Consider the following 23826-nt stretch of genomic DNA (forward strand, 5'->3'; position numbering starts at 1 on the left):
GGTTAGACTTAGGTCCCATCTCCAAGATATCTCATTATGTATATGCAAAAATTCCGAAGTCTGAAAAAAATAAAAAATCTAAAACACTCTGGTTCCAAACTTTTTGGATAGGGGAGATTCAACCTAGCAATTGTTTGTGGTCAGAGGTGAGAGTTCAATCCAGGACAACTTTTCCTGTTTCTCTGACCTCCCTAAAGAATACATGGAACCTGAATCTCCCCTGCAGAGGTGCAAAGGCAGCTAATACCCCAGGGCAGCAAACAGATCTCCAGAATTTTCCGCAAAGAGACTAGTTCAGCATCTCCAGGGATTGTCAGGCATTTTTACCACTGCACGCTTTTGATTTTTCTCTCAACTGAGCACAACAGAAAATTATTTTGAGGAAAAAAATATATCACTTCAGCCATGCTAACTCCCCTTTAAAGCCATCTGGGATACCAAAATGGGTGAGATAAGTGTAAAATAATTTTAAAAGATGCCATTCCTAGAAATAGTACAGAACTGCTTCCTTATGTGGCTTGTTGGTGGCCAGGGGTCTGCAGGCTGTCCTGGATCCAGGCCCAGGAAGTGACTCAGATGTGGCAAAGAAGCCATGTTGTTGAAGAACATCCCGGGGCTGGATTTGGGAAAGGCACATATTCGATGATGACATAAATTCTGGTCTTGTGCACATATTGTTTTGCAAAATCCAGGCATGAGATCATTTGGCTTGAATATATTCTCTGAGGGTTTCTCACAGACAAACACAGTTATCTGAATTGAGTTAGACCAGGGGAAAGGCATTTTAGGGATTATCTGATTGTACATGTAGACGTTTAAGCGTTTCTCAGTCAGGACAAAAACCAAGGGTTTTCTATTTGCTCTCTGGAGGAAAAGCCCACGGATCTCTTATCATGTCATCTTTTTCTACTGCTTTATGGAGAAGAACTTACAATGTTTTCTCCAAATCACTGGATAAAAAGAAAGAACAGCTGTTGCTCTTCTTTCAGGCAGCATTTATTTGACTAGATGAGTGGTTGGTTGGTTTTGTTTAGTTTCTTGTTTTAGATAATTCAGAAGAATAAGAGCCTCTAAGATTACTCACAGTTTTAACTAGGACTTTCTACTGCAAGTGGGAGGTCATGAATAATACTCGCTTTAGAGAAGCTGTAGTGCCTCTTTCCAGAAGAGACTGGTTTGACACATCACACCCTTGTGGTGTTTCTGACCACTTACATCAGAATCACCCCAGGGAAACCAGTTAAACCACACATATCTGGACTCCACTCCAGAGAGCCTCAGGGAGGGATCATGGGCCCAGGAATCTGCAGGTGTTTCTGATGTCCACCACACTTGCAATCCATAGCCCTACCAATGCCAAAGAAAGTGGTCATTTTCTCATTCTGCCACATCCTTTGCTTGATTCTGCTCAGAATTTTTTCTTAATATAACAACTAAGTCCAAAATATTACCACTCAACAGAAAGGTACAACAAATTCAGGCCCATTAACAGTGTGAAATACTAAAGGGCGGCTGGGCACGGTGGCTCATGCCTGTAATCCCAGCACTCTGGGAGGCCGAGGCGGGCGGATAACCTGAACTCAAGAGTTCGAGACTAGCCTGGCCAACATGGTAAAACTTCGTCTCTACTAAAAAAGTACAAAAACATTTAGCTAGGCGTGGTGGCATGTGCCTGTAGCCCCAGCTACTTGGGAGGCTGAGGCAGGAGAATCACTTGAACCCGGGTAGAAGAGGTTGCAGTGAGCCAAGATTGTGCCACTGCACTCCAGCCTGGGCGACAGAGCGAGACTCCGTCTAAAAACAAAACAAAACAAAACAAAACCTGAAGGGCAAGAAAGAACCTGAAGTCTAACCGATCATCAGTTTCTTGAGTAGAAGAGAGAGAGCAGCAAGTGTCCTAAGGCAGACTTGCAGGCCAGAGGGGAAAGGAGATACCTCAGAGTCTTGTGCAAGAGGCCAGGTAGGGCAAGTTTTATCTTTTTTTTCATCTGCAAAATGTTTAGAGTCATCTTCTGCAATCAAGAGGCTTGCAAATAAGGACAGACTCAGAAAGGCTCAGAAATATTCTCAAGAAAGAAGGAAGGAGCAAATTTTATGAAATCCTGAGAAGATGGATAAAGAATGTACACCCCCATATTTGGAATACTAGAAATGGGGGAATGCCCATTGAAATTTGAAAGACATTTTAGGTGTATAGAAATGCAATGACTGAATAACACAACTGGTCATAAACTTAAGGTAATTATTATCTCAATAGATATTCCAGATTGGAACTACAAATACATTCAAGAAATATTTTAAAATTTAGGGATTATAGATCTCTATCAGGTTATTAAGGTAACTGGTGATAGATGAGATGCATGCCTCACTTTAAGGCTGATTTCCTTGGAGAATAATAGATATATACCAGCAATTTTTCTTGGGGTCACACCAAAATACGGTATTTCTAGGGTTTTCATGTCCTTAGTTGTTTGGGGTATACATCTGTTGCATGGCAGCAGCCGTATAACAGGACATGAATTTCAATTCTATTTTTCCTGCTTACTAGCTGTGAAATGTTGGGTAACTTACTTTACCTTTTTGGGCCTCAGTTTCCTCATTTGTAAAATTAAATATCTATATGTATGTATTGCCATTATATATTTACCATATATACACACTATATATGTATTTTAAATTATATATATAATTTGTATATTATGTATATAATTTAAATATATATAATTTGAAATAAAGTGTGTACACACGGTAAATATGTAAATATTATTTATGTATTTATTTACTTATTAAATATGTATTTATATAAATACATATTTAAATTATATATGATTTATTTCTTTATTTATATTATATATAATTTAAATATATAGGCCGGGGTGGTGGCTTGAGCCTGTAATCCTCAGCACTTCGGGACGCCAAAGCAGGCACATCACTCAAGGTCAGGAGTTCAAGACCAGCCTAGCCAACACGGTGAAACCCTGTCTCTACTAAAAATACAAAAATTAACCAGGCATGGTGGTGGGCACTGTAATCCCAGCTACTTGGGAGGCTGAGGCAGAAGAATCACTGGAGCCCAGGAGATGGATGTTGCAGTGAGCTGAGATTGTGCCACTGCACTCCAGCATGGGTGACAGAGCAAGACTCCGTCTCTCTCTCTCTCTCCACATATATATATATAATTTAAAATATATGTATATACACACTATATATATTTTAAATTATGTGGTACATATATATACCATTTAATTAAATGGTATGTACCTATATATATACACATACTATTACAAGAAGAATGACAAACCATCCTCCTGTAGCCACTAAATTACTGTGGTAAATTTAGCTTGTTGACCTACTGTAACATGTGAAATATACCGTGTTTCACATCAGAGGTAGATTAGTGCTGGTGTGGGATCAATGTGGTAGCTTGGTCTTCTTGGTACCAATTTCTTACATCTTTATTGTAATCACATTTTTATATATGTATTATATATGTATATATAAAATACTTTTTATAGAATGATCATAAGAATGAAATATATGATCATGTTTGTGAAAGTGACTGTCATGAGGTGGGTGGGTAATCTGTGAATGCTTCTGAATCATGACATTTCAGGCTGAGTTCTAGGGGAAACATGTTCTGTACATTTGGCCACACATCATAATTTTAGACCATACAGTAAATAGCGAAATGTCTACACTAAAAATATGTAGAAAAAATTATACATGAATACACTTATCAATTGGCAAATTAAAAACACAACTTAATTCATTTATTTCTGAGTTTTAAAAACAATGTATGAGAAATGCTCTGACTTTGTTTAGCAGAAAAGTGACTTACTGAATAGAAAATGCTAAGTGTCTACACTTGAGAATCCACATTAACTAGATAAGTATGAAGGGCAGCTGTGTCAGAGGTCCCTTTCTCTCACCTCCTTATGTTGGAGGTGTTCCTCAACAGTTGAGGAAGAATTAGACTTCCTCCACAATACAGACAGGACCAGTACCTGAATTTCCAGGTTCTGAGAAAAAGAACATGACCTAGAAGCTTCGGCTGACTGTCTGGCATTCCTCATAAATTATGGAAGGCATAATTAATTCTTTTCCATTCTGAATACACATAACTTATCTGTTCTCAAATGCAACTTTGTACTTTATATTCTGTTCTCCCACGTGGTTCTAATGGAGAATGAAATAATTTATATTTTTATTGCAACTTTCCTGGTGCTGTCAAAAATTCCATTGTGTAAACAGCTTTTTAAATGCAATTGACAGAATCCCAACAAGAATTACAAGAGGCATGTGTGAACTCATGTGTCATCTAAGTAATCAACAGAAAGCAGATGTTTAGATGCAAACACAGACTAACCATTTTCTTGTGGCTACTAAATTACTGTGCTGAATTTGGCTTGCTGACCTACTGTGGTATGTGAAAAGTGCCATGCGTGCATGTTCTTTTTTATGCTGGAGGTATATTAGTGCTAGTTTGGGATCTATGTGATACCTTGGTCTTCTTGGTACCAATTTCTTACATCTTTTATTTTAATCGCATTTTAAAAATATTTCTTACATCCTTTATTTTAATATCTTTTTTTTTTTGCAATTTTTTCCTATCTATCAGCTTATTTTTTCCTGTGTAACACTAGAAAAAGGAAATTAGGAGTGCAGTTCCAAGATGGCCAAATAGGAACAGCTCCAGTCTACAGCTCCCAGCGTGAGTGACGCAGAAGATGGCTAATTTCTGCATTTCCAACTGAGGTACCGGATTCATCTCATTGGGGCTTGTCAGACAGTGGGTGCAGGACAGTGGGTGCAGACCACCAAGCGTGACCTAAAGCAGGGCAAGGCATCGCCTCACCCGGGAAGCGCAAGGGGTCAGGGAATTCCCTTCCTAGCCAAGGGAAGCTGTGACAGACGGCACCTGGAAAATCAGATCACTCCCACCCTAACACTGCACTTTTCCAATGGTCTTAGCAAACGGCAAACCAGGACATTATATCCTGTATCTGGCTCGGAGGGTCCCATGCCCATGAAGCCTCACTCATTGCTAGCACAGCATTCTGGGATTGAACTGCATGGCAGCAGTGAGGCTGGGGGAGGGGCACCCGCCATTGCTGAGGCTTGAGGAGGTAAACAAAGCAGCCGGGTAGCTCGAACTGGGTGGAGCCCACCGCAGCTCAAGGAGGCCTGCCTGCCTCTGTAGACTCTACCTCTGGGGGCAGGGCATAGCCAAACAAAAGGCAGCAGAAACTACTGCAGACTTAAATGTCCCTGTCTGACAGCTTTGAAGAGAGTGGTGGTTCTCCCAGCATGGAGTTTGAGATCTGAGAACGGACAGACTGCCTCCTCAACTGGGTCCCTGACCCCTGAGTAGCCTAACTGAGAGGCATCCCCCAGTAGGGGCAGATTGACACCTCACACGGCCGGGTACCCCTCTGAGATGAAGCTTCCAGAGGAACGATCAGGCAGCAACGTTTGCTGTTCAGCAATATTCGCTGTTCTGCAGCCTCCGCTGCTGATACCCAGGCAAACAGAGTCTGGAGCGGACCTCCAGCAAACTCCAACAGACCTGCAACTAAGGGTCCTAACTGTTAGAAGGAAAACTAACAAACAGAAAGGACATCCACACCAAAACCCCATCTGTACGTCACCAGCATCAAAGACCAAAGGTAGATAAAACCAAAAAAGATGGGGAAAAAACAGAGCAGAAAAGCTGAAAATTCTAAAAATCAGAGTGTCTCTCCCCTCCAAAGGAACGCAGCTCCTCACCAGCAATGGAACAAAGCTGGACGGAGAATGACTTTGACGACTTGAGAGAAGAAGGCTTCAGACGATCAAACTTCTCTGAGCTAAAGGAGGAAGTTCAAACGCATCGCAAAGAAGCTAAAAACCTTGAAAAAAGATTAGAAAAATGGCTAACTAGAATAACCAATGTAGAGAAGTCCTTAAATTACCTGAGAGAGCTGAAAACCATGGCACGAGAACTATGTGACAAATGCACAAGCTTCAGTAGCTGATTCGATCAACTGGAAGAAAGGGTATCAGTGATTGAAGATCAAATGAATGAAATGAAGCGAGAAGAGAAGTTTAGAGAAAAAAGAGTAAAAAGAAAGGAACAAAGCCTCCAAGAAATATGGGACTATGTGAAAAGACCAAATCTACATCTGACTGGTGTACCTGAAAGTGACAGGGAGAATGGAACCAAGTTGGAAAACACTGTGCAGGATATTATCCAGGAGAACTTCCCCAACCTAGCAAGGCAGGCCAACATTCAGATTCAGGAAATACAGAGAATGCCGCAAAGATACTCCTCGAGAAGAGCCACTCCAAGACACATAATTGTCAGATTCACCAAAGTTGAAATGAAGGAAAAAATGTTAAGGGCAGCCAGAGAGAAAGGTTGGGTTACCCACAAAGGGAAGCCCATCAGACTAACAGCTGATCTCTCGGCAGAAACTCTGCAAGCCAGAAGAGAGTGGGGGCCAATATTCAACATTCCTAAAGAAAAGAATTTTCAACCCAGACTTTCATATCCAGCCAAACTAAGCTTCATAAGTGAAGGAGAAATAAGATCCTTTACAGACAAGTAAATGCTGAGAGATTTTTTTCACCACCAGGCCTGCCCTAAAAGAGCTCCTGAAGGAAGCACTAAACATGGAAAGAAACAACCGGTACCAGCCACTGCAAAAGCATGCCAAATTGTGAAGACCATTGAGGCTAGGAAGAAACTGCGTCAACCAACGAGCAAAATAACCAGCTAACATCATAATGACAGGATCAAATTCACACATAACAATATTAACCTTAAATGTAAATGGGCTAAATGCTCCAATTAAAAGACACAGACTGGCAAATTGGATAAAGAGTCAAGACCCAACAGGGTGCCATATTGAGGAGATCCATCTCATGTGCAGAGACACACATAGGCTCAAAATAAAGGGATGGAGGAAGATCTACCAACCAAACGGAAAACAAAAAAAGCAGGGGTTGCAATCCTTGTCTCGGATAAAACAGACTTTAAACCAACAAAGATCAAAAGAGACAAAGAAGGCCATTACATAATGGTAAAGGGATCAATTCAACAAGAAGAGCTAACTATCCTAAATATATATGCACCCAATACAGGAGCACCCAGATTCATAAAGCAAGTCCTTAGTGACCTACAAAGAGACTTAGACTCCCACACAATAATAATGGGAGACTTTAACACCACACTGTCAGCATTAGACAGATCGATGAGACAGAAAGTTAACAAGGATATCCAGGAATTGAACTCAGCTCTGCACCCAGCAGACCTAATAGACATCTACAGAACTCTCCACCCCAAATCAACAGAATATACATTCTTCTCAGCACTACATCACACTTATTCCAAAAATGACCACATAGTTGGAAGTAAAGCACTCCTCAGCAAATGTAAAAGAACAGAAATTATAACAAACTGTCTCTCAGACCACAGTGCAATCAAACTAGAACTCAGGATTAAGAAACTCACTCAAAACCGCTCAACTACATGGAAACTGAACAACCTGCTCCTGAATGACTACTGGGTACATAACGAAATGAAGGCAGAAATAAAGATGTTCTTTGAAACCAACGAGAACAAAGACACAACATACCAGAATCTCTGGGACACATTTAAAGCAGTGTGTAGAGGGAAATTTATAGCACTAAATGCCCACAAGAGAAAGCAGGAAAGATCTAAAATTGACACCCTAACATCACAATTAAAAGAACGAGAGAAGCAAGAGCAAACACATTCAAAAGCTAGCAGAAGGCAAGAAATAACTAAGATCAGAGCAGAACTGAAGGAGATGGAGACACAAAAACCCTTCAAAAATCAATGAATCCAGGAGCTGGTTTTTTGAAAAGATCAACAAAATTGATAAACCGCTAGCAAGACTAATAAAGAAGAAAAGAGAGAAGAATCAAATAGATGCAATAAAAAATGATAAAGGGGATATCACCACCAATCCCACAGAGATACAAACTACCATCAGAGAATACTATAAACACCTCTACACAAATAAACTAGAAAATCTAGAAGAAATGGATAAATTCCTCGACACATACACCCTCCCAAGACTAAACCAGGAAGAAGTTGAATCTCTGAATAGACCAATAACAGGCTCTGAAATTAAGGCAATAATTAATAGCTTACCAACCAAAAAAAGTCCAGGACCAGACGGATTCACAGCCGAACTCTACCAGAGGTACAAAGAGGAGCTGGTACCATTCCTTCTGAAACTATTCCAATCAATAGAAAAAGAGGGAATCCTCCCTAACTCATTTTATGAGGCCAGCATCATCCTGATACCAAAGCCTGGCAGAGACACAACCAAAAAAGAGAATTTTAGGCCAATATTCCTGATGAACATTGATGCAAAATCCTCAATAAAATACTGGCAAACTGAATTCAGCAGCACATCAAGAAGCTTATCCACCATGGTCAAGTGGGCTTCATCCCTGGGATGCAAGGCTGGTTCAACATATGCAAATCAATAAATGTAATCCAGCATATAAACAGAACCAAACACAAAAACCACGTGGTTATCTCAAAAGATGCAGAAAAGGCCTTTGAGAAAATTCAACACCCCTTCATGCTAAAAACTCTCAATTAATTAGGTATTCATGGGACGTATCTGAAAATAGTAAGAGCTATCTATGACAAACCCACAGCTAATATCATACTGAATGGGCAAAAACTGGAAGCATTCCCTTTGAAAACTGGCACAAGACAAGGATGTCCTCTCTCACCACTCCTATTCAACATAGTGTTGGAAGTTCTGGCCAGGGCAATCAGGCAGGAGAAAGAAATAAAGGGCATTCAATTAGGAAAAGAGGAAGTCAAATTGTTCCTGTTTGCACATGACATGATTGTATATTTAGAAAACCCCATTGTATCAGCCCAAAATCTCCTTAAGCTGATAAGCAACTTCAGCAAAGTCTCAGGATACAAAATCAATGTGCAAAAATCACAAGCATTCTTAAACACCAATAACAGACAGAGAGCCAAATCATGAGTGAACTCCCATTCACAATTGCTTCAAAGAGAATAAAATACCTAGGAATCCAACTTACAAGGGATGTGAAGGACCTCTTCAAGAACTACAAACCACTGCTCAACAAAATAAAAGAGGACACAAACAAATGGAAGAACATTCCATGCTCATGGATAGGAAGAATCAATATCATGAAAATCGCCATATTGCCCAAGGTAATTTATAGATTCAATGCCATCCCCATCAAGCTACCAATGACTTTCTTCACAGAATTGGAAAAAACTACTTTCAAGTTCATATGGAACCAAAAAAGAGCCCACATTGCCAAGTCAATCCTAAGCCAAAAGAACAAAGCTGGAGGCATCACACTACCTGACTTCAAACTATACTACAAGGCTACAGTAACCAAAACAGCATGGTACTGGTACCAAAACAGAGATCTAGACCAATGGAACAGAACAGAGCCCTCAGAAATAATACCATACATCTACAACCATCTGATCTTTGACAAACCTGACAAAAACAAGACATGGGGAAAGGATTCCCTATTTAATAAATCATGCTGGGAAAACTGGCTAGCCATATGTAGAAAGCTGAAACTGGATCCCTTCCTTACACCTTATACAAAAATTAATTCAAGATGGATTAAAGACTTGAATGTTCGACCTAAAACCATAAAATCCTTGGAAGAAAACCTAGGCAATACCATTTAGGACATAGGCATGGGCAAGGACTTCATGTCTAAAACACTAAAAGCAATGGCAACAAAAGCCAAAATTGATAAATGGGATCTAATTAAACTAAAGAGCTTCTGCACAGCAAAAGAAACTACCATCAGAGTGAACAGGCAACCTACAGAATGGGAGAAAATTTTTGCAATCTACTCATCTGACAAAGGGCTAATATCCAGAATCTACAAAGAACTCAAACAACTTTACAAGAAAAACACAAACAACCCCATCAAAAAGTGGGCAAAGGATGTGAACAGACACTTCTCAAAAGAAGACATTTATGCAGCCAAAAGACACATGAAAGAATGCTTATCATCACTGGCCATCAGAGAAATGCAAATCAAAACCACAATGAGATACCATGTCATACCAGTTAGAATGGTGATCGTTAAAAAGTCAGGAAACAACAGGTGCTGGAGAGGATGTGTAGAAATAGGAACACTTTTACTGTAAACTACTTCAACCATTGTGGAAGACAGTGTGGTGATTCCTCAAGGATCTAGAACTAGAAATACCATTTGACCCAGCCATCCCATTACTGGGTATCTACCCAAATGATTATAAATCATGCTGCTATAAAGACACATGCACACGTATGTTTACTGCAGCACTATTCACAATAGCAAAGACATGGAGGCAACCCAAATGTCCATCAACGATAGACTGGATTAAGAAAATGTGGCACATATACAGCATGGAATACTATGCAGCCATAAAAAAGGATGAGTTCATGTCCTTTGTAGGGACATGGATGAAGCTGGAAACCATCATTTTCAGCAAACTATCACAAGGACAAAAAACCAAACACCGCATGTTCTCACTCATAGGTGGTAATTGAACAATGAGAACACATGGACACAGGAAGGGGAACATCACACACCGTGGCCTGTTGTGGGGTGGGGTTGGGGAGGGATAGCATTAAGAGATATACCTAATGTAAATGATGAGTTAATGGGTGCAGGACACCAACATGGCACACATATACATATGTAACAAACCTGCATGTTGTGCACATGTACCCTAGAACTTGAAGTATAATAATAAAAAAAAGAAAAAGGAAATTACTAAAGGACATTATTATCTTATAATTTCTATTTTCTAATTAAATCATATCTTACAAAATTTATCCTTGGCCAGGTGCAGTGGCTCATGCCTGTAATCCCAGCACTTTTGGAGGCTGAGGCAGGTGGTTCATGAGGTCAGTAGTTCAAGACCAGCCTGGCCACGATGGTGAAACCCCGTCTCTACTAAAACTACAAAAATTAGCCAGGCGCAGTGGCAGGTGCCTGTAATCCCAGCAACTCAGGAGGCTGAGGCAGGAGAATCACTTGAACCAGGGCTGTGGAGATTGCAGTGAGCCGAGATCGTGTCACTACACTCCAGCTTGGGTCACAGAGTGAGACTCCATCTCAAAAAAAAAAAAAAAAAAAAATTCCTCTAAAACTTTCACTGGTGGTAAATATTTATATAATACTTGACAATTTATAATGTTCAGTTTTTCCTTTGACCTTTACAGCAACACTGTGAGAAAGGCAGGGTAAGAATGGCTACCTCCACCGCCACCCTGACCCCCATTTTACAAATTAGGAAACTGAAGTTAGAAATTCTAGAAAGAATGTAAAATGACTTGCTGGTTGTTCATTCTAAATAACTACAAATATCTTTTTTCAATGACAAAACGTCCTTTTTCAGCTTCCTGTGGTTTTCTTGAGTTCTAAATTATTACCCAAAAGAAACCCTAAAGAAGTGAAGTTCATAGTACATGTTCTCATATGTTTAAACCCTACTGCAACAAATACTATTATAAAGAAGTTAATGAAAATAATAAGAGTAACATGTTAATCATGATTATTATATATCAGGTAATGTATTAAGTGCTTTATGTGTTTCATCTCCTTTAATCCTTACGACTTCTCTAAGCAGAGAGGAATTATTATCTCTGTCTTACAAATAAGGGAAATACATTTGGAGAGATCTAGCCACTTGTCCAAAATCATGGACACAGTATTGTTGAATTTTGTAACAGACCCAGCTCAATCTGACTCCAAGCCCAGAACTCTTAAGAAGTGCTTTAAGGCCAGGCGCAGTGGCTCACGCCTGTAATCCCAGAACTTTGGGAGGCCAAGACGAGTGAATCACCTGAGGTCGGGAGTTTGAGATCAGCCTGACCAACATGGAGAAACCCTGTCTCTACTAAAAATACAAAATTAGCTGGGCATGGTGGCACATGCCCGTAATCCCAGCTACTGGAGAGGCTGAGGCAGGAGAATCGCTTGAACCCGGGAGGCGGAGGTTGCGGTGAGTGGAGATCGTGCCATTGCACTCCAGCTTGGACAACAAGAGCAAAACTCCATCTCAAAAAAAAAAAAAAAAAAAAAAAGAAGTGCTTTAACAAAACTAATTCTACATCTGTGCTGATGATGCAAAATAAAGGTATTTGTAGATCTCTCTACAAATAATTGTCTTTTTCAAAAAAATTCAGTAGTATATTGCTGGTGCAATTGCAAAATGATACTGCCACTTTGAAAAACAGCTGATCAATCTCTTGATTGACAAAGAGTAAGCATACACCTTGATAAAGGTAAGCATACACATAGCATATGACACAGCAATCCCATTCCTGGGTATTTCCTCAAGAGAAATGAAAACACATGTCTGCAGCAAGACCTGAGTTGGAATATTCATAGTAGCTTTATTCATGATAGCTCCAGACTGGAATAACCCAAATGTCTACTAACTGATGAATGGATAAAAATACAAAAATTAGCTGGGTGTGGTAGTGCATGCCTGTAATCCCAGCTACTCAGGAGGCTGAGGCAGGAGAATCATCTGAGCCTGGGAGGTGGAGGTTGCAGTGAGTCGAAATCTCACCACTGCACTCAAGCCTGGGCAACAGAGCGAGATTCTCAAAAAATAAAAAATAAAGGACAAGGAATGGAATTTCACGCAAAGAACTCCTCAAAACAATGCTTTCCAAGCTTAGGTGATATGGTTTGGCTCTGTGTCCCCACCCAAATCTCATTTTAATTGTAATCCCCAGGTGTTGAGGAAGGAACCTGGTGGGAGGTGATTGGATCATGGGGACAGTTTCCCCCATGCTGTTCTTGTGATAGTTGAGTGAGTTTTCACAAGATGTGATGGTTTTATAAATGGCAGTTTCCCCTGCACATTCACTCTCCCTCTCTCCTGCCATCTTGTAAAAAAGGGTCTGTTTCCCCTTCCACTGTGATTGTAAATTTCCTGAGGCCTCCCCAGCCATGCGGAATTGTGAGTCAATTACACTTCCTTTGTTTATAAATTACCCAGTCTCAGGTAGTATCTTTATAGCAGTGTGAAACCGGACTAATACACTAAGGGATGATGAGAACCCTTGGGAGAGGCTTATTCAAACTGCAGGTCCCTCTCTTGAAGATTCGGACTTAGGAGGTCCAGAACTCCTCTGTGGAGTCCAGGATTCTGCAGTTTAAATAGGCTTATGAGGGATTACAATCAGGGGAATTTGGGTAACAGTACAGAAAAACAAACCTGCTTATAACCAAGGAACCAGGCTATCCGGTGGGATTTATAGGGGTATTTGCCCAATCTGAATCTGTAATTTGAAGCTGCTTTAAGGACACACAACAAAGTCTCTTTATGATCCCTGTTATGAAGCAATTACTATTGCTCTGGGACTCAGCTGAGTCTCCTCCTGCAGGAGCTCCATTCAAAGTGGCTGATGTGCTGGGTGTGCCAGGACAAGACTAAAGAAGCTCCTGGCTTGTACAGATCCACTGTGGCCCTTCACAAGGTGGGTGTAAGGCAGAGTCTCAGCTGTTTTCTGAGCAGCAGCTTCCAAGCACACACTGAAGACACCCACCCAGCCTATGCCCCTTTATGAGGCTGAACCAGTGCCTCAAGTAGGAAAAAAGCTTAGAAACTGAAGGGAGAAGTACACTTAATATTCTCAAAACAGGTATTGATCTTTTTTAAAATTTCTTTTTTCAGGAAAACTTTAGCCAGGAGTAGAATGAACGTCAGATAAATATCTCGAAATAGCTGAAGAGTGCTCATGTGGAAGACAGAATTGGCCTTTCCCCGTGCTCTCCTGAGGGACAGAGGTTTGGCTTTTGCCCCATGCTCCTGAGTGGGTAGAAGCTATGGAGAGGGGGTATTTTGGGCTTGACAAAAGGAAGAACAAATAGAAAGAACAAGGAATTACAGCCAGACCAGCTGCTGCTTACCTGCTGGCCCTGCCCTCACTCACTCACTGTGGGAACTTGGGCAAGCAGTTAAGCTCTCTGCATTTCCTCATTTGCAAAATGGAAATAACAACATTTGCAGGGCTGTGGCAGGGATTAAATGAATTATTTGTAAAGCTCTTAGCAGAGTGCTGGGCACATAATCAGAGCTCCATATGGGGTAGATTATAAAAATAAGAACAGTCAAGGCTGAGAAAGGTGAAGGGGTTGCCTAAAGTGGAAGTCAGTTTCCCATCACCACAGGTGTGCAAGCACAGTCTCCACTCACCCTTAGGAAGGGATGAGTGAGCAGCAGGGAGAGGTCTAAGCATCACTTGAGTGGTTGGATAGGGAAACATTTGAGCAATTTTATGGCTCTTAGAGAAGGTAGGGAACATATTTTTGTGCTTATAAAAAAATTGTTCTTTTGCTTTTACTGAAAACATTTACTCTCTCTATGCGGCCAGCCTTTAACCTTTGAGTTTAAAAATCTGAGGCCTCATGATTTCTACTGGGAAGTTAAGACATTACACAATGTTCACTCCTATTCCATCTTTAATAACAAAGCTTGGAATGTGAATCCCAAAACAAAGTTATGGCAAAATACATACCAGAATAGCAAGGAAAATAACCATACAGAAGTTTTGATGGACATGCCCACTGCATAAACAATGCTGTTACCTCTAGAACATTTAAGGAAACAGTATTATCTGTGAGTCTTGGGATGCTGGAACTGTAAGTTTTCCTAAATGCATCATACAGATGCCCCAATGTTTGCAAAAATTGGAATAAAGGTAAAAGGAAAACAGTATGGACTTCCTGTAAGCCTACTGAAAATTTGTGTCAGATATTTTAAATTAAAAATAGTACATTAGGCCAGGTGTGGTGGCTCATATCTGTAATCCCAGCACTTTGGGAAGCTGAGGCAGGTGGATCACCTGAGGTCAGGAGTTTGAGACCAGCCTGGCTGGTGAACATGGTGAAACCCTCTACTAAAAATACAAAAATTAGCTGGGCGTGGTGGCACACATCTGTAATCCCTGCTACTCAGGAGGCTGAGACATGAGAATAGCTTGAACTCAGGAGGCAGAGGTTGCTGTGAGCCAAGATCTCATCACTACACTCCAGCCTGGGTGACAAAGCAAGATTCTGTCTCAAAAAAATAAAAATAGTACATGCATTTATATCTCTTCTGTCCAAAAGACCACCAGTCAAGACATATGAAAAATGTATATATATGTATGTTATTATAGTCCAAAGAAGAGGAGGCAACAGCCACTTAGAATTATAAAAGTTCTGAAGCTGGCACAGTGGCTCATGCCTGTAATTTCAGCACTTTGGGAGGGTAAAGTGGGAAGATTACTTGAAGCCAGGAATTCAAGACCAGTCTGGGCAACATAGTGAGACCTCTGTCTGTACAAAATATAAAGTAAAATAAAATATTTCAAAAAAGTGGATATAGGAGTAGTGACTGGTAGAACAGAGCTGAGAAAGCTGAAATCTAAGAACTTTCAAAGAGAGGCATCAATGAGAAGCAAGCCAGTTCACACTACAGAAAACTAGGATATCTCAGGAATTAAGAGTGTTAGGTATTTTGGAAAATGTAGGTTAATTATGGAAATAAAAACAGAGGACTGGTTGAAAGTTATGGAAAGAGAATTTATAATGCCATGTTTTCCCCTCCCCCACCCAGCAGGGAACTACTCCTTCCACCCCCACCAACACTCCCACCCCCGTAGTCTGGAAATTACACACTTATTCTCTGAGAAAAGTGGACATAAGAGGCTCTCTATTCTGGGACATCAGCACATCTTAGATCTTAGGGAAGGGTGGAAGGGAGATGTTCCACTGAAAATAGGAAGATGGAGTAAAAGTTTGAGTAGTAAACTAAGAGTCCCTCAGTCTCTTTCTCTACTGGAAAACAAATGGCAGCCAGTAAAGTAGCACACAGGTGGAAGACTGGAGTCTTTTTCTTTGAAAGAAATGTGAAGATTCCAAAGAAAAGGTCTACAAACCCTGACATTTTAGGACCTGCAATTAAAGAACAGCTTACCACTTGATCTCTCTAGAGCAGGGACTGCCATTAAACAACTATCAATGAGCTCCATAATATGTCACTATTAAATTTGATCAGACAATTAAGGTCAGCAGATTCCTCCAAGATAAAAGACAAAACAAAACACACAAGAAAAGAAAAAAAGGATCTAGAGGAAATAGAGATATTACAGAGAGCAGAATATTAAAAGAATTCTAATATCCTCCAAAAAATGGGAGAAAACATGAAACAAGAATAGGGTGTTATGAAAAAACAATTTGAGTATTGAAAAAGTGCCCTTGATAGCTGAAATAAAAATTCAACAGAAAGATTGGAAGATAAAATATCTCCCAGAGAGTTGATGAAAAAGACAAAAAATAGGCAATAGGAGAGAAAATATCAAAAAAGTTAGAGTCAATCTAGAAAGTTCTATATCTGACTAATAGGAGTCAAGAAAGAGAGACCAGAAAAAAATAAAGGAAATTATTAAATATATAATAAAAGATATTTCTCAGTATTTAATGAAATCATTCTCCAGATTGAACATGAGAATTGTATGCCCAACCTAATGAATGAACAAGGTTCACCAAGTCACATTATTTTAAATTATGATGGAAATTACACTGAAAATAAAGAGTAGATCCTAAAAATTTCCAGAGAAAGCAAAATAGTGCGGGAAAAAAGTGAAAATTTAAAGAGTAGGAAACAGAATACTATCGGATTTATCAACAGCAACATCAGAACTTAAAAGACAATAGAGCTACCAAAATTATAAGTCAAAGAGATATAGAATTCTATGCCCAAACAAACTGTCAAGTATGAGGGTAAAATGACATTTTAAGACATCCTAGGTCTCAAAAACTTTACATTTCAGCAACTACTAAAAATGTGCTACACCAAAATGAGGGTATAAAACAAGAAAGAGGAACACGTGGGATTCAGAAAATGGGATCTGTGCAGACCTAGAAAGGCACTGCTCAAGGCCGGGCATGGTGGCTTATGCCTGTAATCCCAACACTTTGGAAAGCTGAGGTGGGTGGATCACCTGAGGCCAGGAGTTCGAGACCAGCCTAACTATCATGGCGAAATCCCATCTCTACTAAAAATACGAAAATTAGCTGGGTGTGGTGGTGCATGCCTGTAATCCCAACTACTTGGGAGGTTGAGGCAGGAGAATAGCTTGAATCTGGGAGGCAGAGGTTGCAGTGAACCAAGATCGCACCATTGCACTCCAGCCTTGGCGATAAGAGCAAAACTCCGCATAAACAAAACAAAACAAAACAAAACAAAACAAAACAAAACAAAACAAAAAGCACTGCTCAGATCCCCTTCAGAAAATGACTTGTTGCTCTTGCTGCCCAACCAAAAAGGGTGTGATTAGCTGACAACCTATAGCTAGTAGTTCCTTTGGGATCTGCCTCAACTTTTGAGCCAAGGTCACATTTTTCTTGGGGTAGCCCTTAGTCAATGACTAAGCAAGATGTTGAAGAAATAACGTGGGCGTCTAAAAAGGCAGTGTTTGCACTGGCGCTCCCCATTGGACGGGTGGAATCTTTGTCAGGTTTGCAACTCAGGGCAGCAGCTCCCCTGTCCAATCCTTAATTCCCTTTTCCTTTCAGAGCAATTGCTCTTCCATAAATCTTTTGCACTCTTAACTCTGTGTTAACGACCTGCTTAGGCTAGAAGAGCTCTGGGCTCTGAAAAGGTAACCTCTAGGTTAAAAAATCTGATTAGATAATCTGATAGATTCTACCATGTAGAAAATTGTTTTAAGAGGAATTTTATAATTTTGTGAGAGGATCTAGAAAGACTAAGGGACACATATGTACAAGAGTAAAAGTAAGAAAAAAAGAAATGCAAATAATAACTGCAGATAGGCAAAAAATTATAAAATGGAGGAAATTATACTACTTAACTTGCCTGGGAACATAAAATGTAAAAACTAAATATCAATTTATTTATTTTTATTTTTAAAATTTTTGAGACAGAGTCTCACTCTGTCACCCAGGCTGCAGTGCAGTGGCATGATCTCAGCTCAGTGCAACCTCCACCTCCTGGTTTCAAGCAATTGTCGTGCCTCAGCCTCCTGAGTAGCTGGAACCACAGGAGTGTGCCACCATGCCTGGCTAATTTTTGTAAGTTTAGTAGGGATGGGGTTTCACCATGTTGGCCAGGCTAGTCTCAAACTCCTGGCCCCAAGCCTCAGCCTTCCAAAGTCCTGGGATTACAGGCATGAGCCACCGCACCTAGCCAAATATCAATTGAATTAAAAAGTTGTGACACTATATTGAGACAAGGCAAGTGGGGATGTTAGAGAAAGAGAGCTAAATCCCCATTCTGCCATTTGTTAGAAAGTCAAGAGATAACATCTAAAATTGATGTGTCTGTAATGGCAGTGTAAATATGGCAAATATCAGAAGAAATAGCTGAAGTTCAAAGTTCTGCCTCTGAGGCATGAGACTAAAGCGTGAAGTAGAGGAATGCAGTCCTCCTTCATGAGCCTTTAAATACAATTTGGTTTATATTTGTTTAGATAAAATATTAAAAAATTAATTTACAAAAAGAATGTTAACTCATAGGCTAGAAGTAGAAACCTCATTAATAGGCATTGGTTCCCAGCAGGAATCTGCAGAAATACAGAGGGAAGAATGGTGGGGGGAGGCGCCATAGCCTGAAATGGCCCTAGTCCCAGGCACCAGCCCCAGTGTAGTGCATGGGGCTGCAAGGTCTCCTCTGCTCAGAGGCTGTGATTCTGTATGTTATAAACTGAGTGATATGGTTTGGCTCTGTGTCCCCACCCAAATCCCATCTTGTAGCTCCCATAATTCCCACGTGTTGTGGGAAGGACCTAGTGGGAGATAATTTAATCACAGGGGCGAGTCTTTCCCATGCTGTTCTCATGTTAGTGAATAAGTCTGATGAGATCTGATGGTTTTAAAAACAGGAGTTTCCCTGCACAAGCTCTCTCTTTGCCTGCTGCCATCCATGTAAGAAATGACTTGCTCCTCCTTGCTTTCCACCATGATTGTGAGGCCTCCCCAGCCACGTGGAAATGTGAGTCCATTAAACATTTTTCCCATATAAATTAACCAGTTTCGGGTATGTCTTTATTAGCAGCATGAAAACAGACTAACACACTGAGAGTCCCTGATCAGCAAGTTCTTCCTCCATTAACTCTACCCACTGGCTTATCAAAGATGGAATTTTCTGGCCTGTTGAGGGGATATTCTTGAGTCTGGAATTTACTTATTGGAAAAGAAGAGAAACAGAATTGTTATCAGCCATCTGGCTAGGGGGAAATTCAAATACAATAATAAAAGAAAGAGAGAGAAAACATCCAATTCAGTGGGCTGCTTTTGTCAGGAAATCTTATTAAACTGCTGCTCTGTGCTCAGTGTCCATGATAAAGAGCATCAAGGCAGCTTTGGACAGAGATTTAAAAGCAGGGGCAGATGAGGAAAGTCCAGCAGGTCAGGGTAAGGAAGAAACACTGTATTTGCTCCCCATACTGATGATCAGATTATAATGGGGAAGCTTGCTTCAGATAAGGCATGGTGACTCATAATTTTATCATTTTGAGAATGCAATATAAATAAATCCATACAATATGTGACCTTTCATGATTGGCTTTTTTTCACTCAGCATAATGCCTTTGAGGTCCATCCAAGTTTTTGCATGTATCAATAATTAAGCACAATAGCTTGTTTAACCATTCTCCTATTAAAAGACATTTTGGTTGTTTCCAGTTTGGGGCTACTACAAGTAAACCTGCAGTGAACATTATGTCAAGGTTTTGTATGGATATAAGTTTTAATTTATTTGGCATAAATTTCCAGGAGTGCAATGCTGGGATAGTAAGAATATGTTTAGCTATGTAGAAAACTGCCATCCTGGCTGGGCATGGTGGCTCATGCTTGGGGGTTCAGCACTTTGGGAGGCCGAGGCAGGCAGATCACTTTAGGTCAGGAGTTCAAGACCAGCCTGGCCATCATGGGGAAAACCCGTCTCTACTAAAAATAGAAAAATTAGCCAGGTGTGGTGGCGTGCGCCTGTAGTCCCAGCTACCTGGGAGCCAAGGCAGGAGAAGGGCTTGAACCCAGGAGGCAGAGGCTGCAGTGAGCCGAGATTATGCCACCGCACTCCAGCCTGGGCGACAGAGCAAGACTCCATCTCAAAAAAAAGAGAAACAAAATGAAAAGAAAACTGCCTTTCTATTTTTCAGAGTATCTGTGTCATTTACATCCCCACCAGCAATATATGAAAGGTCCACTGTCTCCACATTCTCACCAGCCTTTGGTATTGTTTTATTTCTTTTTTGAAAGATCAGAAACTTCCTGCTGCCTTCCATTTTTTCTCTTAAAAAAATCAGTATTATGTCTGTATATAAAACCTTATGTACAGGCTGGGCATGGTGGCTCACTCCTGTAATCCCAGCCCTTTGGGAGGCTGAGGCAGGTGGATTACTTGAGTTCAGGAGTTCAAGACCAGCCTGGTCAACATGGTGAAACCCCATCTCTACTTAAAAAAAAAATTAGCCAGGCATGGTGGTGAAGGCCTGTAATCCCAGCTACTTGGGAGGCTGAGGGAGGAGAATTGCTTGAACCTGGGAGGCAGAGGTTGCAGTGAGCGGAGATTGAGCCACTGCAATCCAGCCTGGGTCACAAAGCAAGACTCCATCTCAAAAAAAAAAAAAACCCACAAAAAAACCTATGTACATTTAAAGCATAATAGTAAAACAAACACCTGTTAACACACCATCCAATTTAAAAACTAAAGCATTACCAAACCTAATTCCACCCCTCTGCCTTTCCCACTAAGAAGGTAACCACGCTACTGACAGTGTAAACCAGTTCTCTGGGAAAAAACACTGATTTGCAGTTCTTGTCAACTTCCATGGTGTAAATAATCCCATGTGACTGATGTCAAGCTACCAACCTAAAGTAACTGAGTGCGGAGCTGGAAGAGATGTGTGTAGTCGGTTGTGGCAAGCCTGTACAAATCTGTTCCAGCACCACTGTTGCTAAACTTGGTATTTATCATTCCAAGAAAAAAATGCGCATGCACACACACACACACACACACACACACACACACAGTGATAGGCTGAACAATGAACCTGAGATGCCTACATTCTAATCCCTGGAACCTGGAAATGTTACAGTGAATGGCAAAGACTTGGCAGATATGATTCAGTTAAGGCTCTTGAGCTGGGGAGATGATCCTGGATTATCCAGTTGGGCCCTAAATACAATCACAAGTGTCCTAATGAATTGAGGCAGAGGGAGGATCGACTACAGAAGAGAAGGCCATGTGACCACAAAGCAGACACTGGAGGGATATGGCCAAGGAATGCTGGCAGCCACAAGAAACTGGAAGAGGCAAGGAACACATTCTTCCCCAGGGCCTCTGGAGGAAGCACAGTGCTGCCAAGGCCTTGATTTTTAGCCCAGTGAAATGGATTTCAGACTTCTGGCCTACAGAACTGTGAGAGCATAATATAATAATCTGTTGCTTTAAACCACCAAGTTTGTGGTAATTTGTTACAGCAGTGACAGGAAACTAATACACACACACACACACACACACACACACACACAGTGTTTTCTACAAATTACCAAAATATCTATAATATTCACGTAGCTAGATTTTATCTTTATACAATTGCTATGTTCTTATCCAGAGAGATTCCAGGACTTGAGTTTTTTTCACTCAGCATTGTTTCTAAGATTTATTCATTTTACTTCATGTAGCTGTAATTCCTTTATTTTCACTATTGGTTAATATATTCCATCATGGCCGGGTGTGGTGGCTCACACCTGTAATCCCAGCACTTTGGGAGGCTGAGGTGGGTGGATCACGAGGTCAGGAGATCGAGACCATCCTGGATAACACAGTGAAACCCCATCTCTACTAAAAATATAAAACATTAGCTGGTCATGGTGGTGGGCACTTGTAGTTCCAGCTACTTGAGAGGCTGAGGCAGGAGAATTGCTTGAACCCGGGAGGCAGAGCTTGCAGTGAGCTGAGATTGTGCCACTGCACTCTAGCCTGGGCGACAGAGTGAGACTGCGACTCAAAAAATAAATAAATAAATTATATATATATATATATATAAAATCATGTATTACTTATCCATTCTCGGTAGGATTTAGGTAGTCTCCTTTATCAGATTAAAGAAGACTGGTTTTTCCCCTGAACTGAGATGATACCCAGGATATTACATTTGCTTTATTCTTTCAATCAAAGATTGGGTGAGGTAACAATTGTGGGAGGTAACAAGTTGCATTGAATGTTATAAGATTCCAGGATTCCAAATACTCCACCGAGAGTACATGTGAGTCATCTTACAGATAAGGAGAGTGGGGTAAGGTACATTAGGGTGTGATGTGGGCAGGGTCTCTCCTCATCAGCCTGGAAATGTGCTCACCCACAGGAGAGAGACCGCCTGCTCCCTGCCACACCCACACCCAGCACACAAACAGTACCCAGAAGGCACGCAATCAGTGAGGAAAGAGTTGGGGCCACTCTGGTTGAGGAAGAGCTGGATGAGGGTGGAAGGCTGGCCTGAGACACAGTGACTCACCAATGTGAGGATGGCCCATTAGATGCAACTCAAGAACAAGATGGTTTCAAAAAAGATGTCTGGCTTCTAGCTGGACAAAAGACCCTTGTTTCCCTGAATATCCAGAAAGATAAAAGGCATAAATGAATCGGAATTAACCACGGATGACTCAGCCTCAGGTCACATGGGTGAGTGTTCATGAGACATTTTTCTCCTTCTGCTTTGGAAGGTTTGCCTGGGGCAGTCTTGCTCGACTGGTAGGTGAATCAGCTTGCAAGCCTGAGTGTCATCACAGCTCTCACTGTTCAGCCTCCTATTTATTTACCCCTTACCACATAGGTGAGCTCCTTCCTCAGTTTCACTAAAATTATCCCTTCCTGTGAGAATCGCAGAATTTATGGATGGTTTCAGGGGGACATGGAAGGTATATCTCATTTTGCTCCATAGCCCAAGCAAATGAAAACCCAATTTTTCAAATTAACCCTCTCTCAAGTTTTACCTCGGAATTGCTGAGTCAAAGAGCAGGAACATCTCTGATTTTGGTATACTCCCTTGGAGCACCATCATAGTCAGCCCATGAAATCAAAAGTGCTTTATATGGCAGAGCACCTCCTTACTCCACCAGAGGCAGGGCCACCGACAAGAGTGGCCTTAAGTAAGGGAAGACACAGCCGGGCAGGTACGCCTGGCAGGCTTCAAGTGGGCCACAGCGGATACCTTAGACATGTCCTGGGCAAAGGCTTCCTTATGCCCATCCCATGGCACCGTCTCTGGGGCTGGGAAGCTGGCAGACTTGACCCCTCCCCATCAGCCTTCCCACACATTTATAGGCACCTCTCAACTGTTCAACATATGGTCCTCTAGCCTGGGGATGACTTACATTTTTTTTCCTTCATTTTTTTCTACTGTTTGCCCTTTGGCCACCTAATTTGTCATATGATTGACTCCAGAGACTGGGTGAAAATCCGATGGATGATATGTGATCAAGAAAGATAAAAGGATAAGATAGCCCTAGCTACCCACATTATCTCTGGCCCTTATCATTTAGAGACAATCTTTATTTTTTTGAGATGGAGTCTCACTCTGTCACCCAGGCTGGAGTGCAGTGGCACCATCTCGGCTCACTGCAGCCTCCGTCTCCTGGGTTCAAGTGATTTTCCTGCCTCAGCCTCCCAAGTAGCTGGGATTACAGGCACATGCCACCATGCCCAGCTAATTTTTGTATTTTTAGTAGAGATAGGGTTTCACCATGTTGCCCAAACTAGTCTCAAACTCCTGACCT

At 41.1% G+C, this 23826-nt stretch overlaps 1 long non-coding RNA gene across 1 annotated transcript in view, besides 3 other annotated features; it reads right to left on the reverse strand.

Moving 5' to 3' along the window:
* Positions 1-23826, reverse strand: part of LOC124900191 (uncharacterized) — a 115042-nt gene that overhangs the window by 19538 nt on the left and 71678 nt on the right. The gene's annotated exons all lie outside the window — the stretch shown is intronic.
* Positions 22111-23310: an enhancer, noted in NCBI's record as "P300/CBP strongly-dependent group 1 enhancer chr5:77995230-77996429 (GRCh37/hg19 assembly coordinates)". NCBI's record gives its function as "activates an origin of replication core promoter dependent on BRD2, BRD4, P300/CBP, MED14 and CDK7 cofactors, with strong dependence on P300/CBP, by STARR-seq in HCT116 cells {active_cell/tissue: HCT116}" and the evidence as "EXISTENCE:reporter gene assay evidence [ECO:0000049][PMID:35650434]".
* Positions 22642-22786: an enhancer, noted in NCBI's record as "145 bp enhancer 185 fragment used in the MPRA reporter construct; PK_construct_3747". NCBI's record gives its function as "activates an SV40 promoter by MPRA in K562 cells {active_cell/tissue: K562}" and the evidence as "EXISTENCE:reporter gene assay evidence [ECO:0000049][PMID:23512712]".
* Positions 22709-22719: a transcriptional cis regulatory region, noted in NCBI's record as "NFE2L2 motif; enhancer activity is reduced when this motif is scrambled". NCBI's record gives its function as "necessary for full MPRA enhancer 185 activity {active_cell/tissue: K562}" and the evidence as "EXISTENCE:site-directed mutagenesis evidence [ECO:0005528][PMID:23512712]".

The sequence above is a fragment of the Homo sapiens genome, chromosome 5, assembly GCF_000001405.40.
Source record: "Homo sapiens chromosome 5, GRCh38.p14 Primary Assembly".
In the NCBI taxonomy this organism is placed as follows: Eukaryota; Metazoa; Chordata; class Mammalia; order Primates; family Hominidae; genus Homo; species Homo sapiens.